The sequence below is a fragment of the Homo sapiens genome, chromosome X (genome assembly GCF_000001405.40).
Source record: "Homo sapiens chromosome X, GRCh38.p14 Primary Assembly".
Taxonomy (NCBI): Eukaryota; Metazoa; Chordata; class Mammalia; order Primates; family Hominidae; genus Homo; species Homo sapiens.
Window position 1 is genome coordinate 151645840 of NC_000023.11, and position 17418 is coordinate 151663257.

Sequence of the window (17418 nt, forward strand, 5' to 3'; positions counted from 1 at the left end):
ATATTCCCTAATGTTTTTATTTAAAATTGTAAGTGCTTCTCTGTGACTTTTAATTGTGAGGTGTTTTTTGTTTTGTTTTGTTTTGTTTTGTTTTCGGGTCTCGCTCTGTCATCTAGGCTGGAGTGCATTGGCGTGATCACAGCTCACTGCAGCCTTGACCTCCCCGGCTCAAGTGATCTTCCCACTTCAGCCTCCTGAATAGCTGTGACCACTGGTGTGCACCGCCACATCTGACTCATTTTTTATTTTTTCTAGAGATGGGATCTCACTGTGTTGTCCTGGCTGGTCTCAAACTCCTGGGTTCAAGTGATCCTCCCACCTTGGCCTCCCAGAGTGCCTGTGACTTTTATGTTCTACATCAAATATTTGCCATTTATACTGGCTTATGGAGAGGCACAAAATGTAAATTCACTGAATAATTTGGAAAATATTTACTTGTATTTATATTCTTGATATTTAAGTCGGTGGATTTGAAACAAAACATACTTGCTTCACAACATATTGCTGTCAAAGAGTTTTGTCCAGTAAAACTTACTGCATCCTTTAATACAGCACTGTCCAGTAGAACTTTCTGTGATGATTGCAGTGGCCTATAATCTGCTTCATCCAAGACGGCAGCCACTAGCTACGGAGCACTTGAAATGTGGCTACTGTGACTGAAGACTAAATTTTAAATTGTATTTAATTTAAATTAACTTAAATTTTGATTTAGCCACATGTGTCTAGTGACTGCCATATTGGACAATGCAGCAAGCAATATATTCCTATGTTGTTTATCTCAGATATAAAGTTATGCACTATTTAGAAGCCAATATAAAGGTATTAGATTGCTTTTAAGCAACAAATAGAAGCTCCAGCTTGTTCATTAAAATAATTTTGTCAATCCAGGCAGACTTGGGATGAAGGATGTGAAAACATTTTGATTGAATTGACTACTAAGTTTTATCTGTTTATTCCTTTATTTACTTAGCAAATATCCATTAAGCACATAGTAATTGCTCTCCATTGTGTGAAGTGCCTGGGATACAAGAAGTTTAAAGCATGTTCATTGCCTTGAAGAAATTAACCAGGTAGAAAAAGTAGATAGAAAGTAATAAGAAACATTCATATAAGGCAGAAGAGAGTTGAGAAAGAGGGAAGAGTCTAGGATGACTTGGAGATTTCAGTCTTGAGTGACTGGGTGGAAGGTGGCACTGTTCACCAAGTAGGAGACACTGGAGTGGGGAACAGGAGTCTATACCATGTTGAATTGAGGTTAGATGCCCACATGCATGTGCTGAAGGCAGTTGGATATGTGGGTCTACAGCTTGGGAAGAGGTCTTGAGGTAGAGCTGTGGGAGTCACGCATAGTTGAAGCCAAGGGATACGACATGGTCTGCAAGGCAGATAATATAAAGAAATAACAGAACTCCAAGAGCAGCCCTGAAGAGGTACCAGCATTTATGATGTGAGAAAACATTCTGTTAGACTAACATAGCTTATAAATTTAGTCGGAGGTTGAAAAATTATTTTAAAAATATGTAATAATATAGGAATTTTGTTTTTAAATAATATGTGGGCAGATTTACAAGTGACTCCATTTATGTTTGTTTCATGACACTGAAAATCAAACCAGTAAGAAATATTTTATATTTTACATATTTTATATTTTAATTAAATTAATATTAACAACATAAAATATTAATAAATATATTTAATTAAATATATACTTTTTATATATTTTAAACATTCTGTATTCGATATAGTCCAGTTATACATGCAAATGAATGACTTAACTCATTAACTAGTTGTTTTATGCTGTGCAAATCAGTACTTCCTAAATATTACGTATTTTGGATATCCGAAATACATTTTTCAAGCTCTTAATTTTTTAGTGTTAGAAATAAATGATATAAATAAAATGGATTTTTGTCAGGGTCCTCTGAAATACATAATGGAAAATTTATCTCCATTGGATCAGAATTCACTTTTTGAAATCATGTGGCATAACCCAGGTTTTCTCTTAATTATGTGTCTTCTGAATATGCTTGGAAAGTTTTATATATATCATTTTGCCACTGTCTTGCTGCTCTGAGGTCTTGTTTTTTATAATATTTATTATCAGACTTTAATTTCTCATTTTGTGGAGTAATAGGGGCTTTTCTAAAGAAAAACTCGTGAAAACAAAATACATTTCAATAACAGAATCTCAGTTATGAAATTTTTAAGGCTTGAAACACTATTATCAATATTAGAAATAAGATTCTCATTCATTCATATTTTCTCACCCATACTTAATTGGTGAAAAGTAAGCTAGTATTTCGACTCTAGTGTGCCATGAAGCTGCATCTCACCCTGGGCAAATTTCTATCTAATTTTGATAGAAATGAATTGTTAATGAGCCCCGAGAATGGAGAGTTTCTCTAATTACAGGAAACAAAATTAAATTGGGCCTAAAGGCATTTTTTTTTTTGTAATTGCAGTTGGTTTAAAAATTGAAAAAGAATATTCACTCAAACACCTTGGCTTTAAAAATATTGGTTTGCTCCCCACTGTTAAAAAGGCATTGAGACCTGCAGCAAACTTCATTCTAATGAGGGTCCAGATGATTTTTTTTTTTGTAGATGTGTAGAACAACTCTGTGGGAAAAATGATACCTCAAAGATTAATGATGTTCTGTAGTAGGGAAAATAAAACAAATAGTTTTTATTTGAACCTTTTTATTGTATGATAGAAAATTTTGATTTAAATGGCGAGTGAGATATGCTTACCATCTCTCTTTTTTCCTATTTATAGTAGCTCTCAAGGTCAAAGAGGACACACTAGCATGAAAGCCGTGTACGTTGAACCCGCTGCTGCTGCTGCTGCTGCTGCTATCTCAGACGTATGTACATTGAGGACCATAGACTACAATCTTAGACCCTTATCCGTGTGATGTTGATTATTTAGTTAATGTGTGTTACCAAGAAGTATGTCATATGGATGTGACACATGAGCAGTGTTCCACAGTTGCCATCTTGTAGACATTTCTTATTAGGAGCCAGTAACTGCCAGACTTCGAATGGTCCCTGTAGTGCTTGAAAAAGAATTAAGCTAAGCTGTATCCCAGATGTTGTTCAGGGTCTTTTTGCCTTGTGAGTACATTTCATAATGGAAGTTTACTTACTGACCTGCCTGGTGTAGAAAGCCATGAAGGCTAGAACCTAGTGCCTAATTAGCCTAGGTTGTCTGCATCCGTTCTCTAAGACAACGAATGTATCATCAATTTATTCATTAACCAGATATGACTAGAAAGAATCCTTAAGGGACATACATTAATAGAAATCTACCTGGGTCTACCCTCAGTGATCTGATGAAACTCTAGACTGGGACATAAAACCAAACTGCAAGGAGAGAGGTAGAGAAGAACAGAAGAGGTATCCCAGAAGGCATTTCCCACGTTAAAAAGTGACAGGGTGGTTCCTCACCTTACATGCCACTCTATGGGTATATGTACCATAGCTGATAGGCTGGATCACCACAGTGGTAACAGTGCTACAGAGAGAAAACATGACCGAGACATCAGAAGACAAGGGTTTGATTCCTGATTCTGCCACTTACCAGTTACATGGCCTGGGGAAAGTTGTTTTACCTTGGACAGCCTCAGTTTCCTCATCTGTAAAATGGAAGTAGTAATAATAATCTCTGCCAGGCTACCTCATGGGGATATAATAATGCTCAAAGGAATCTTATCGGGATATTTATTTTACTCCTATAATAGAATGAAACCTCTGTGAGAGGAGAGATCATTGGCTGTCTTGTTGGTCAGCATATCCCCAGTATTTTGAACAAGGCTTGTTACACACAGTAGGCAGTCATAAATATTAGATGCACAAATGAGTACTCTATGTTAAAGCACTCTGTTATTTTTATAGAACTCTTCAAATATTTGGTAAAGGGATTTCAAGAGCAGTATAGACAGGCTGCATGCATAGACTCTAACTTTGGTTTTCAGGCCTCCATGTGTTTTGCCTGAATGAATTTGTACTGGGATCAGTGCAGACAGCAGGTCTTTTCAGTATTTAAGTTCTTCTGTAATATGGAGATGCCATGAGCACATATTTTAAACATGAAGTGCTGATTTTGTATTGAATTGTCCAAGTATTGCTCATTTAACAAAGTATGTCTATGTGAATAAAACTTTCTCCATTCCGAATAAGTACCTCTGCTTAACCTAATATTCTGCTCAAAGAAGTATGAAACAAAGAGGAAATAAGGTAGAAGAATGCTAATTTAGACAGAGCAGTGTTCTGTTTACACACAAACTAATTACAGGTATGCTGGGAAAAGGGGCCAAGCCAACCATATAGCTCTAGCCATCAGTGTAACATCTACACAGTTGTCAGGCTTGCTTCATCAGCCCGTCAGTAAATAAATATTTACCCAGGGTTTATACTGTACTGTGTGTGAAGAATCCAGAGTCCCTAAACTTAGTATATGTTGAAGAAAGCTGGATTAAAATATTCTCATTTTATAAAATATATAATGCCTAAGTAATTATAATATTTAGAGAAAAGTGGGCTGTTTAAAAAAAAAAAGAAACACATAATCCCACTGCTGTGGCACAGCTGCTATTTAATTTTGCTTATTCCCATTCAGTCTTAGTCCACCAACGTATATATTTTTCATGTAGTTACAATGAAAAATATAGCTTACATTCTACTGCATACCCTTGGCTTCCACTTATCACTAAGTTCCATTTTTTTCAACAGTCACATTGATCATTTTTTAAAACTGTATAATATTCCATGAAATTGTGAGACCTGCTTCCAGCCAAGATGGAGTGAGGGGGCCAGGTTAACTTGCCTACCTGAAACGGGCAAAAATAAAACAGACAAAATATATGACACAACAGTTTTCATGATAATGGCCAGCAGGCAGCAAAGGCCATGGATTCTTGAGCAATTGGAAATCAATGAGAGGAGCTTCACAGTTACCAGAGCTTACTACATAGCAAGTTTCTAGGCCACATTGCAGAGAGGGAGAACACATATGGAGCCCAGTGGACTGCCCGAGTTGAGATTGAGGTGAGAGTATAGGGAGACTAAGTTTGCTAGCGGAGTCCTAGAGAAGAGAGAGCTGCATGGAGAAAGAATGCCAGAGATCTGTGAGGGGCCCCCTCTAGTATTCAGCAGCATATTGATTGGCATATTCACTTGAGGAAGCTACTTGAAGTGGGGCTAGGGGAAAACCATTCCAGAGGATTACAGAGAACAATACTAGTACTCACAAAGGGTTAGTAACAGTTCTTGTTCCTACCAGCCATACTGGAAATCCTCATAACACACAAGACATTAAGTGAGAGTACATAGAAATGTCTTGCATCAGGTGTGGAGAAAAATTAACCCTAATGATATGGTTTGGATCTCCTTTTTAATTGACTCTGTCCCAAATACTTCTCTTAATGATGAGTGTAGGTGACTTATGTTAGTAGCCACCCACATTCTGCCATCCATTCCTAGAGACAGGTTGCTCCTTAGCCATGTTACACTAAACAGGCATGTTTGGCAGAATTGCAGCTTGTGCATTATCAGATTGCTTTTGCACCCAAATCCATTGTGTCAGGAGGTGGCAGGTGGGGTGGGATCTTCAGAAGCAGCTGTCTTTGAGCATGAACCAAGAGCTAGGTAGGACAGAAGCAGACAACACAGAAACAGTCGGCTAGAGCTGATTACTTGCAAATGAGAGTCCAGGACAAACCTGATTTAGGGAATAATCATGAGAGCATCTTGCACTGATTTTATACCTACTATGGTAGGCATTTAGTCATTTATTCATTCAACAGATACTTATTTAAGATTCTAAAAAGTAGTCAAAGAAGGTCAGCCCTGAAAAAGAATAATAACACTGAAAACTAAACTGTATTAAGAGCTTCCTATTTGTGCATTTTACTGGGTGCTTAAGTCCCACAACAGACCTGTGAGGCATTATCATTCCAGTTTTACAGATGGCAAATCTCAGAGTCTTGCTATTGAATAAGTTGCCCAAAGTCACACAGTAAGTGTCAGAGCCAGGATTCAAACCCAGATCTGTCTGATCTCAGTATCTATGTCTCTTACTGCCCAATGAGGCGTCTACTTTTAAAACTATTTTGTCATATTGTCCTATTTGTTGCATGGTTTCCCTTTTGTTCTTTATATATTTGAACATTTTAAATGTGTTTATTTTTAAAGGCCATTTCTGATTCCTTCATTTACTGATTTATTGAACAAGTATTTATTGAACACCTACCAGATACCAGACACTGTTTTAAGTTGGGGGTGGATTCATCAGTTAACAAAACAGTGAAAAATTGTTGCTCTAGAGGAACTTACATTCCAACAGTGAGAAACAGACAATAACGAGATGAAAATATTAAATAAAGAAATCATTGATTAGAAGGTGACAAGACTTAGGCCAGGCACAGTGGCTCATGCCTGTAATCCCAGCACTTTGGGAGGCCGAGGCAGGCAGATCACGAGGTCAGGAGTTCGAGACCAGCCTGACCAATATGGTGAAACCCCGTCTCTACTAAAAAATACAAAAATTAGCCAGGCGTGGTGGCACACGCCTGTAGTCCCAGCTACTCAGGAGGCTGAGGTGGGTGAATCACTTGAACCCGGGAGGCGGAGATTGCAGTGAGCTAAGATCGTGCCACTGCACTCCAGCCTGGGCGACAGAATGAGACTCCGTCTCAAAAAAAAAAAAAACAAAAAACAAACAAACAAAAAAAACTCAACCCAACCCAAACAAAAGAGAAGGTGACAAGACTTATTGAAAAGATAGAACAGGATGAGGAGGTTTGGGAATGCAAGAGGTCGGGGAGTACAGTATTAAATATAAGCAATGACTTGAAAAAGGTGAGAAAGCTAGCCATGAAGACATCTATGGTCGGGGGAGACTATTTCAAGAAGAGGAAAAACTTCTGCAGGGTTTTGGAGGTGGAAGCATGCCCAGTGTTTAGAGGAATAACGAGAAGGTTAGAGCAGCTGGAGCAGAGTGAGCAAAGCTGAGAGTAGGTATTGATGAAGTCATAAATGTAAGGAGGTCAGGTTGAGTAAGGCTTTGGAAGCCATTGTATAGATTTTGGCTTTAACTCTGAATGAAATGGAGAATGATTAGAGAGTTTTGAGCAGAAGAATGGCATGACCTGACTTGTTTATTAAAAGAGTCACAGTGTTGAGAATAGACTGTGGGAGGAAGGGCAGGAATGGAAGTTAAGGAGTCCAGTTAGGAGGCTATCCCAGCAGTCCAAATGAGAGATGATAATGGCTTGAAGCAGGGTGGTAACCGTAGAAGTTATGAGAAGTGGTCAGATTCTGAAAATATATATGTGTGTGTGTGTATATATATATATATATTTTTTTTTTTTTGAGATAAAGTTTCGCCCTTGTCACTCAGGCTGGAGTGCAGTGGTGCCGTCTCGGCTCACTGCAACCTCCGCCTCCCAGGTTCAAGCGATTCTCCAGCCTCAGCCTCCCAAGTAGCTGGATTACAGGCGCATGCCACCACACCTGGCTAATTTTTGTATTATTAGTAGAGACGGGGTTTCACCGTGTTGGCCAGGCTGGTCTTGAACTTCTGACCTCAGGTGATCCACCCGCTTCGGCCTCCCAAAGTGCTGGGATTACAGGTGTGAGCCACCGTGCCTGGCCTTCTGAAAATATTCTGAAGGAAGAGCCCTTACATTTGTTGGCATTTGATGACGGGTGTGAGAAAAAGAGAGGAGTTAGGGATGACGTGAGCAACTGGGAGGATAATGTTGCATTAACTAAGATGGGAAAAATTATGGGAAGAACTCGCAGCTTAGGGATGTTTTCTTCCTTCTTTCCTTCCTTCCTTCCTTCCTTCCTTCCCTCCTCCTCCTTCTTCTTCTTCCCCTTCCTTCCTTCTCTCTCTCTCTTTCTTTCCTTCCTTCTTTCTTTCTTTCTTTCTTTCTTTCTTTCTTTCTTTCTTTCTTTCTTTCCTTCCTTCCTTCCTTCCTTCCTTCCTTCCTTCCTTCCTTCCTTCCCTCCCTCCCTCCCTCCCTCCCTCTTTCTTTCTTTCTTTCTTTCTTTCTTTCTTTCTTTCTTTCTTTCTTTCTTTCTTTCTTTCTTTCTTTCTTTTTCTCTCTTTCTCTCTTTCCTTTCTTCTTTCCTCCTTTCTTCTTTCAAGACAGGGTCTCTCACTGTGTTGCCCAGACTGGAATGCAGTGGCATGGTCAGCTCACTGCAACTTCTGCTTCCCAGGCTCAAATGATCCTCCCAACTCAGCCTCCCAAGTAGCTGGGACTGCAGGCACACACTGCCAGACTCACCTCATTTTAAATTTTTTTCTAGAGACAGGGTCTCACTATATTGCCCAAGCTGGTCTCAAACTTCTGGGCTCAAGCAGTCCTCCCACCTCAGCCTCCCAAAGTGTTGGGATTATAGGCATGAGCCATTGTGCCTAGCCAATGGTGTTTTCTTTGGGGGGAGGAGTAATATCAAGGACTTAGTTGTGAAAATGTTTATGACTGAGAAGCCCCTTAGACATCCAACTGGAGATGTAATACAGGACTGGAAATTTGAATTTGGGGATCATCAGCATGGATGGTCTTAAAGCTGTAAGTCTGGAGGATGGACACTAAGGTAGATAGCAACAAGGACCAAGGACTGAGTTTTGAAGTACACCCAAAGTTAAGAGATTAGGGGAAAAAAAGGAGGAATTAGCAAAAGAGACTTACAAGTGACTAGTGAGGTAGAAGGTAAGCAAAGTGAAGAAAGTATTTACAGGAAGAAGGAATGATGAACAATGTCAGCTACTGCTGATAGATTACATAGGTTGACAATTGAGAAGTGACCATTAGAGTTAGGACCTGTAGGTCATTGCTAAACTTGACAAAAGTTTTGGTGGAGTATGGTGGGGTTCAAGGAGATAATGTCTGATGAGAGTAGGTTTAAGAGAAGATGGTGGAATGGTGGCAGGTAAATAAGAGATAAGATATAGAGATGATTTCTAAACTCAGGGTATTTCTTTGTTTTGATTTTTGTTTTTCTTTTTATTATTATTATTATACTTTACGTTCTAGGGTACATGTGCACAACAAGCAGGTTTGTCACATATGTATACATATGCCATGTTGGTGTGCTGCACCCATTAACTCATCATTTACATTAGGTATATCTCCTAATGCTATCCCTCCCCACTCCCCCCACCCCATGACAGGCCCTGGTGTGTGATGTTCCCCTTCCTGTGTCCAAGTGTTCTCATTGTTCAATTCCCACCTATGAGTGAGAACATGCGGTGTTTGGTTTTTTGTCCTTGTGATAGTTTGCTGAGAATGATGGTTTCCAGCTTCATCCATGTCCCTACAAAGGACATGAACTCATCATTTTTTATGGCTGCATAGTATTCCCTGGTGTATATGGGCCACATTTTCTTAATCCAGTATATCACTGATGGACATTTGGGTTGGTTCCTAGTCTTTGCTATTGTGAATAATGCCACAATAAACATCCGTGTGCATGTGTCTTTATAGCAGCATGATTTATAATCCTTTGGGTATATACCCAGTAATGGGATGGCTGGGTCAAATGGTATTTCTAGTTCTAGATCCTTGAGGAATTGCCACACTTTCTTCCACAATGGTTGAACTAGTTTACAGTCCCACCAACAGTGTAAAAGTGTTCCTATTTCTCCACATCCTCTCCAGCACCTGTTCTTTCCTGACTTTTTAATGATTTTTATTCTAACTGGTGTGAGATGGTATCTCATTGTGGTTTTGATTTGCATTTCTCTGATGGCCAGTGATGGTGTGCATTTTTTCATGTGTCTTTTGGCTGCATAAATGTCTTCTTTTGAGAAGTGTCTGTTCATATCCTTTGCCCACTTGTTGATGGGGCTGTTTGTTTTTTTCTTGTAAATTTGTTTGAGTTCATTGTAGATTCTGGATATTAGCCCTTTGTCAGATGAGCAGGTTGCAAAAATTTTCTCCCATTTTGTAGGTTGCCTGTTCACTCTGACGGTAGTTTCTTTTGCTGTGCAGAAGCTCTTTAGTTGAATTAGATCCCATTTGTCAATTCTGGCTTTTGTTGCCATTGCTTTTGGTGTTTTAGACATGAAGTCCTTGCCCATACCTATGTCCTGAATGGTAATGCCTAGGTTTTCTTCTAGGGTTTTTATGGTTTTAGGTCTAACGTTTAAGTATTTGATCCATCTTGAATTAATTTTTGTATAAGGTGTAAGGAAGGGATCCAGTTTCAGCTTTCAACATATGTCTAGCCAGTTTTCCCAGCACCATTTATTAAATAGGGAATCCTTTCCCCATGTCTTGTTTTTGTCAGGTTTGTCAAAGATCAGATGGTTGTAGATGTGTGGTATTATTTCTGAGGGCTCTGTTCTGTTCCATTGGTCTATATCTCTGTTTTGGTACCAGTACCATGCTGTTTTGGTTACTGTAGCCTTGTGGTATAGTTTGAAGTCAGGTAGCATGATGCCTCCAGCTTTGTTCTTTTGGCTTAGGATTGTCTTGGCAATGCGGGCTCTTTTTTGGTTCCATATGAACTTTAAAGTAGTTTTTTCCAATTCTGTGAAGAAAGTCATTGGTAGCTTGATGGGGGGGATGGCATTGAATCTATAAATTACCTTGGGCAGTGTGGCCATTTTCACAATATTGATTCTTCCTATCCATGAGGGTAGAATGTTCTTCCATTTGTTTGTGTCCTTTTTTATTTCGTTGAGCAGTGGTTTGTAGTTCTCCTTGAAGAGGTCCTTCACATCCCTTGTAAATTGGATTCCTAGGTATTTTATTCTCTTTGAAGCAATTGTGAATGGGAGTTCACTCATGATTTGGCTCTCTGTTTGTCTGATATTGGTGTATAAGAATGCTTGTGATTTTTGCACATTGATTTTGTATCCTGAGACTTTGCTGAAGTTGCTTATCAGCTTAAGGACATTTTGGGCTGAGACGATGGGGTTTTCTAAATATACAATCATGTCATCTGCAAACAGGGACAATTTGACTTCTCTTTTCCTAATTGAATACCATTTATTTCTTTCTCCTGCCTGATTGCCCTGGCCAGAACTTCCAACACTATGTTGAATAGCAGTGGTGAGAGACGGCATCCCTGTCTTGTGCGAATTTTCAAAGGGAAAGCCTCCGGTTTTTGCCCATTCAGTATGATATTGGCTGTGGGTTTGTCATAAATAGCTCTTATTATTTTGAGATACGTCCCATCAATACCTAATTTATTGAGAGTTTTTAGCATGAAGGGCTGTTGAATTTTGTCAAAGGCCTTTTCTGCATCTATTGAGATAACCATGTGGTTTTTGTCATTGGTTCTGTTTATATGCTGGATTACGTTTATTGATTTGTCTATGTTGAACCAGCCTTGCATCCCTGGGATGAAGCCCACTTGATGATGGTGGATAAGCTTTTTGATGTGCTGCTAGATTCTGTTTGCCAGTATTTTATTGAGGATTTTTATATCAGTGTTCATCAGGGATATTGGTCTAAAATTCTCTTTTTTTTGTTGTTTCTCTGCCAGACTTTGGTATCAGGATGATGCTGGGCTCATAAAATGAGTTAGGGAGGATTCCCTCTTTTCCTATTGATTGGAATAGTTTCAGAAGGAATGGTACCAGCTCCTCCTTGTACCTCTGGTAGAATTCGACTGTGAGTCCGTCTGGTCCCGGAGTTTGTTTGGTTGGTAGGTTATTAATTATTGCCTCAATTTCAGAGCCTGTTATTGGTCTATTCAGGGATTCAGCTTCTTCCTGGTTTAGTCTTGGGAGGGCGTATGTGTCCAGGAATTTATCCATTTCTTCTACATTTTCTAGTTTATTTGTGTAGAGGTGTTTATAGTATTCTCTGATGGCAGTTTGTATTTCTGTGGGATCGGTGGTGATATCCCCTTTATCATTTTTTATTGCGTCTGTTAGATTCTTCTCTCTTTTCTTCTTTATTAGTCTTGCTAGCGGTCTATCAATTTTGTTGATCTTTTCAAAAAACCAGCTCCTGGATTCACTGATTTTTTTGGAGGGTTTTTTTTTTTTTAAATTCTGCTCTATTTTATGTAGCATTTTCTCCATGTCTGTCCAATCTGCTGTCTTGATTGGAAGCCCTATGGCCTTTCCCCCACCACTTCCAAAAAAGTAAAATGCAAGGATCTCCTAAAAATTAGAGCACTTTAACAATAAGCCACCACAGGGAAAATGCAAAGATTTGGGAACAGACTTCTTGAATGCCCTCTTCCCCCTCTCCCCCTACATATTTGCAGTTTACATAACCATCAGGTATTGGAGTTTGCATTTGAAGCCTACTCTATATCCAGCCTCAAAACCCATGCCTCTCTTTTCAAATCCTTTAGCACACTATTCGTGGAGACAATTATGGAATAAAGGTGAATCCAAAACTCCACTGAAAACTGTAAAAGCATGTTGATTTTCTTCCTATCTCCATGCATGCATTTTCACCTTAGTCCTAATTGCATTTTAAACTGTTATCTTTTTGCTTCCAAAGTAGTTTCTTGGCTTTGTTTTTTCCAGGCCAATTACCATTACTGCACATGATGCTGTCATTTAAGTTAATTTAAGCTCACTGCATTTATATTGATAAGCCCGAACATACGAATACCCAAAAGTGGACATCTTAATTAACATTTGAGAATATAAGTTTATGTTGAAAATAATCCAGAAAGCAAAGAGTTAGTGATTAAATCGATAGATGGCTATGAAGAAGAACAGAAGGAAGAGGAAAGAGACAGGTCATATCTCCTCTTAATGAATACCGATTCACCATAATGTCATTGTAAGTAATGAAAAGATTGTCACATCCCCAGCAACATATCACTTATTAGGGAGTATAAAACATAGTCATTTGAACAGTGAGGTTGCACAGTTTCCTGAAGTTGAAATGCTGGGATGTGATCCAACAAACAGATTCTTTGTAGAAAAATCACCATGGGTCTGTGTCTTAAGCCAATCCAGAACAAAAGCAAACAAAATATTTTGTCAGGGATGTAAAATATTTCACTGCTAAACCAGGTACTTAAATTTCAATGGACAGTGATCCACAGACTATTCAAAAAGGATTCAGTTGTTCAGGAAATAGGACAGGATCACTCAATAGAAATATTATGTATGTAGTTTAAGGCAACAAATGGCTTAAAGGTAGCCAGGCTTAGGAAAAAGAGCATTGGGTTTGGAGTCAATGGATTCTATCTCTCACTCTGCTCCTGTCTGTCTGTATGGCCTTGCCCTCTTTGACACTATCCAGTGAGAACATTGGACTAGAAGCTCTTAGAGGCCTTTTCACCTCTCTGCTTAAAATAGTTTTGCTAATAATACTTTCAACTTTAATCTGCCTAAAGACATGCAATAGTTGTTAAACAGCCCCTGGTTGGCCTTTTCTTGCTCTAAGCCTAGGATGCAAGTGCAGGAACTCTGGGAAAATGGCCTTATCAGTGGTGGTGCAGGTCTCCCACTGCTGTCCCATTTCTCTGTGAACCAGTTTGTTTGGGTCTAATAATGAGGAATGGGAGATGAGGTGACTACCATCCTTGGCAACTATCATGACAGCATCCTACTGACACCACTGAAAGGCAGAATTGTTTTTGCCATGCCTTTTGATCTATAAACATTTTTTGATGCCTTTATTTTTAGTGTTATGTATACTGTGTTTCTCTTCTTCAGTTTGTCAGTGTATACCTTGTGGCATCTATAATCTCCGCTTGTTATCTTCCAGCAATATTTTTAAGGAGGTATTTGATGATGATTTTTGTTAGGTTTTCAGTTGATTGCAGCAGTGTTAGAAATTGTGATGTGAAATGCATCAAAGTTTGTATTCTGCCTGTGTTTCCTATTCTTTCTAACTCCAAAATGCAATGTCCTATCTTTCTCTTTTGGAAATGTACAGGACCAAATTGATATTGCAGAGGTTGAGCAGTATGGACCACAAGAAAACGTTCACATGTTTGTAGATTCTGATTCAACTTATTGCTCCAGTACAGTTTTCCTGGATACTATGCCTGAATCTCCAGGTAGGTACATTTATGCATTTGGATAGGGACTATTAGAAGAAAAACAGTGACCCCCAGGGTAGTTACAGTTTTTCAAATGAATATAATGCTCTATAATACTGTGAAATCCCAGAGTGAATTCCAACTTTCTTCATCTTCTGTAAATATTTGAGATGATGATTTGAGAATAATAAAAATGAGTATTTCATCACAGATTCAAGTCTTTTCTCCTATTTAATTTTAATCTTCTAAAAATTGGCGCTGGATCTCAATCCTTGAAGGAATAGCGTTTTATCTTTTTATACTCGTGTAGTCTATTCTGCTATCACACAGTATTTGGATTCCAAAGAAACCTCTTGTTATTGAGTTTTCATGCCAATAAAGGGGGAAAGTGAGAGTCTCTCAAAAACAGTGATATTTCTTTAATGAGTTTCAATATTAAAGATATTTCGTAACCGTAATTGTTTGAAAAGTACAAAACTTAAGGAAATGGTGGATGCATAATACAAATTATATCTCCTAATTAATCTTATCATAAATAATTGGTATGTGGAATCTCCTTATATAGAAGTAATAAGCTCTATTTTAATTTTTATTTCACTCTTTTTCAGTTTTTAAATCCAGTTTTAGTATCTCCAACTTTTAAAATTCTTAGTTAACAACTTTTCCATTGTTGCTGTCAATCTCAAAGCTGTGTTTAAAAAATTCCTTCCAAAACAATTGATTTTTGGCAGGAGAGGTCAAACTCCATGAACTCATAATTGTGATTTCTAAAATTTATAAGAGCATTGATTGCTTTAAACCTATTTATCTGGACCTACCATTGTAACTTTGCTATAGAGAATTATTTGTATTCACTACTGTTAAGCCAATGATGGAGAAATCCTTATAACCTTCCACAGATGACTGTTCCAACAAAATGAGCATATTGAAATGGCTAGCAGCTTATGGCTGATATGGTAGAAGTCAAGTAACTCCTGGGTTTCTCACTATCACTTACAGATAATTTAGTAGCTTTGTTTACTTGGAATCAGAAAATTAAAAAATGGTAAACTGGGCCGGGCACGGTGGCTCATGCCTGTAATCCCAGCACTTTGAGAGGCCGAGGTGGGCGGATCATGAGGTCAGGAGATCGAGACCATCCTGGCTAACACGGTGAAACCCCGTCTCTACTAAAAATACAAAAAATTAGCCGGGCGTGGTGGCAGGCACGCCTGTAGTCCCAGCTATTCAGGAGGCTGGGGCAGGAGAATGGCATGAACTCGGGAGGCGGGGCTTGCAGTGAGCCGAGCTCTTGCCACTGCACTCCAGCCTGGGCGACAGAGCAAGACTCCGTCTCAAAAAAAAAAAAGAAAAATATGCTAAAATGATTTGGAAAATGGCTTTTAGTGGAAAAAAGAGTTAAGCAGAAGAATTTAGCCAACAGTCTAAACACTGGAAGTATCCAGAAACCAGAATTTTTCAAAATATTTTCAATGGTCATCCCAAACTCATGCTATGATTAAAGGACAATTCGCTCATGACCATAGCATGGTAAGGTATGCAACCCCAGGCTGCAGAAAGCAGATAGGAAGTGACGGAGTGGTTCATTCTGCCTAATCCAGATGTTTCTCTTTTCCAAACTTTTAATCTTGAAATAATTTTGGACTTGAAGAGTTGCAAAAATAGCACAAAGAAAAAAATAGAAAAATAAGGGAAAGATACCATTTAGGATAACCTTCATTTAGCTTCCCCTAATGTAACATTTTACATAACCACAGTACAGCTGGCAAAACTAAGAAGTTAACATTGATGCAATACTTTTAAGTGAGCTTCAGCCTTTATTCAGTTTTCCCAGAAAGTTGTTTTTCTGTTCCAATAACTAATCCAGGATCCCTCATTGAATTTAAATAATATGTGTTTTTAGTTTCTTCCAGTCTTTGACAGTGTCTCATTCTTGCTTTTTTTTTTTTTTATCATCCGATACTTTTGAAGGATATGGGCCAGGTATTTGACAGAATGTCCCTCAATTTGGGTTCGTCTGATGATTTTTCAAGATGAGATTGAGGTCTTGCATTTTGGGGAAGAATACCACAGATGTGATGTGCCCTCCTTAGGGCATCATATCAGAATATACATGATGGTATGTTTTATTGCTGGTGGTGTTAACTTGATTGCTTGGTTAAGGTGGTACTGTTTTCCCCTTTGTACTTATCAAATATTTGAGGGGAGCTACATTGAGAACATGCACATAATGTTTTCTGTTTCTCCTTAAACTCTCCTTCACATTTAGCATCATCAGTGGAATTGGCCTACAGCAATTACTTCTAATGCCAATTTTTTATTTCCCTCGTTTTTTGTATATTTATTAACTGCAATCTTGCTGTAAGAAAGAGTTGTTCCTTGTCTCTCTTTCATTCATTTATTCGTACATTCATTTACATCAGGATGAATCCATGGGCATTTTTTTATTATTTGGTTTGCAATCCAATACCGTCATTAAAAAAAAATTGTTCCAGCTTTGGCTCATGGGGCTCTTTTAGGTTGGCTCCCTTGTCCTTTTATCATGTCTGCATCTTTTTTTTTCCCTTCACTTCCTTATTTCCATTATTACATGTTGTCATTTAAATCAACCCCTTCTTTAAGGAACCTTATTTAGGTCCTTTATTTGGAGAGTGGTATTTAGAAACGAAGATCTGGGTGCTAGTTGTACTCATTGTTACAGGTGTGTCACTACTTCTAAACCCTCTCAGTGGACTAGGAAAGATGTCTATTCATACTAACCCATGCAACCATATACAACCATCTGTATTTATTTCAGCATGTAACAACCAACAACAACAACAACAACAGGAGTTCATTGATAGTTCCTACTCCAGCCCAGTATCATAGGGTTCATTCTAGCCTTTTCTGTCTGCTTATTTGTAATTTGTATCTCTGACAGTGAGAAATCTGGCTTTCATTATCTATGGTATATTTATTGATTTTTCCAATACATAAACATTCATAAAAAGTAGTTTCACAATTGCTAACCTGTACCCCTTAAGGAACAAATTTACCATTTGGAATTAATTTGTGTGTGCATTTTTTTTGTCTTTAGCTTTGCAGTATCCAGGCAAACCTCTGTTTTCTGAAGTTCCTGCGTTAGCTTCTTTATTTCTCACCCCCATCACTGTGGATATGTCATTTATCTGTAATAGAATTAGATTCATTTGTTACAGTCTGTATTTTCGCCTAGGTTTTCCTGCCTCCTGATCAATTTCTTTTCAATTTTATATACAGTAAAATTCACTCTTTGATATATACAGTTCTATGGATTTTGACAAATGTTGAGAGTCATGTATCCATCACCACAGTACCAAACAGAATAGTTCCATCACCCCCAAAATTCCTTTGTGCTCCCTCTTTGTACTCAACCTTTGTCTCCCATCCCCTGACAACCACTGATCTGTATTTCACCTCT

At 38.4% G+C, this 17418-nt stretch overlaps 1 protein-coding gene across 2 annotated transcripts in view, besides 1 other annotated feature; it reads left to right on the forward strand.

Moving 5' to 3' along the window:
* Window positions 1-17418, forward strand: part of PASD1 (PAS domain containing repressor 1) — a 113065-nt gene that overhangs the window by 82165 nt on the left and 13482 nt on the right. For both annotated transcript variants that reach the window (NM_173493.3, XM_011531102.3), the window contains exons 9-10: window positions 2776-2863; window positions 13874-13997. In NM_173493.3, the coding sequence (NP_775764.2) occupies window positions 2776-2863; window positions 13874-13997 (212 nt within the window). The remainder of the gene's footprint in view (window positions 1-2775; window positions 2864-13873; window positions 13998-17418) is intronic.
* Window positions 13124-13324: a silencer, noted in NCBI's record as "peak7436 fragment used in MPRA reporter construct". NCBI's record gives its function as "represses an SCP1 promoter by STARR-seq MPRAs in K562 erythroleukemia cells {active_cell/tissue: K562}" and the evidence as "EXISTENCE:reporter gene assay evidence [ECO:0000049][PMID:32103011]".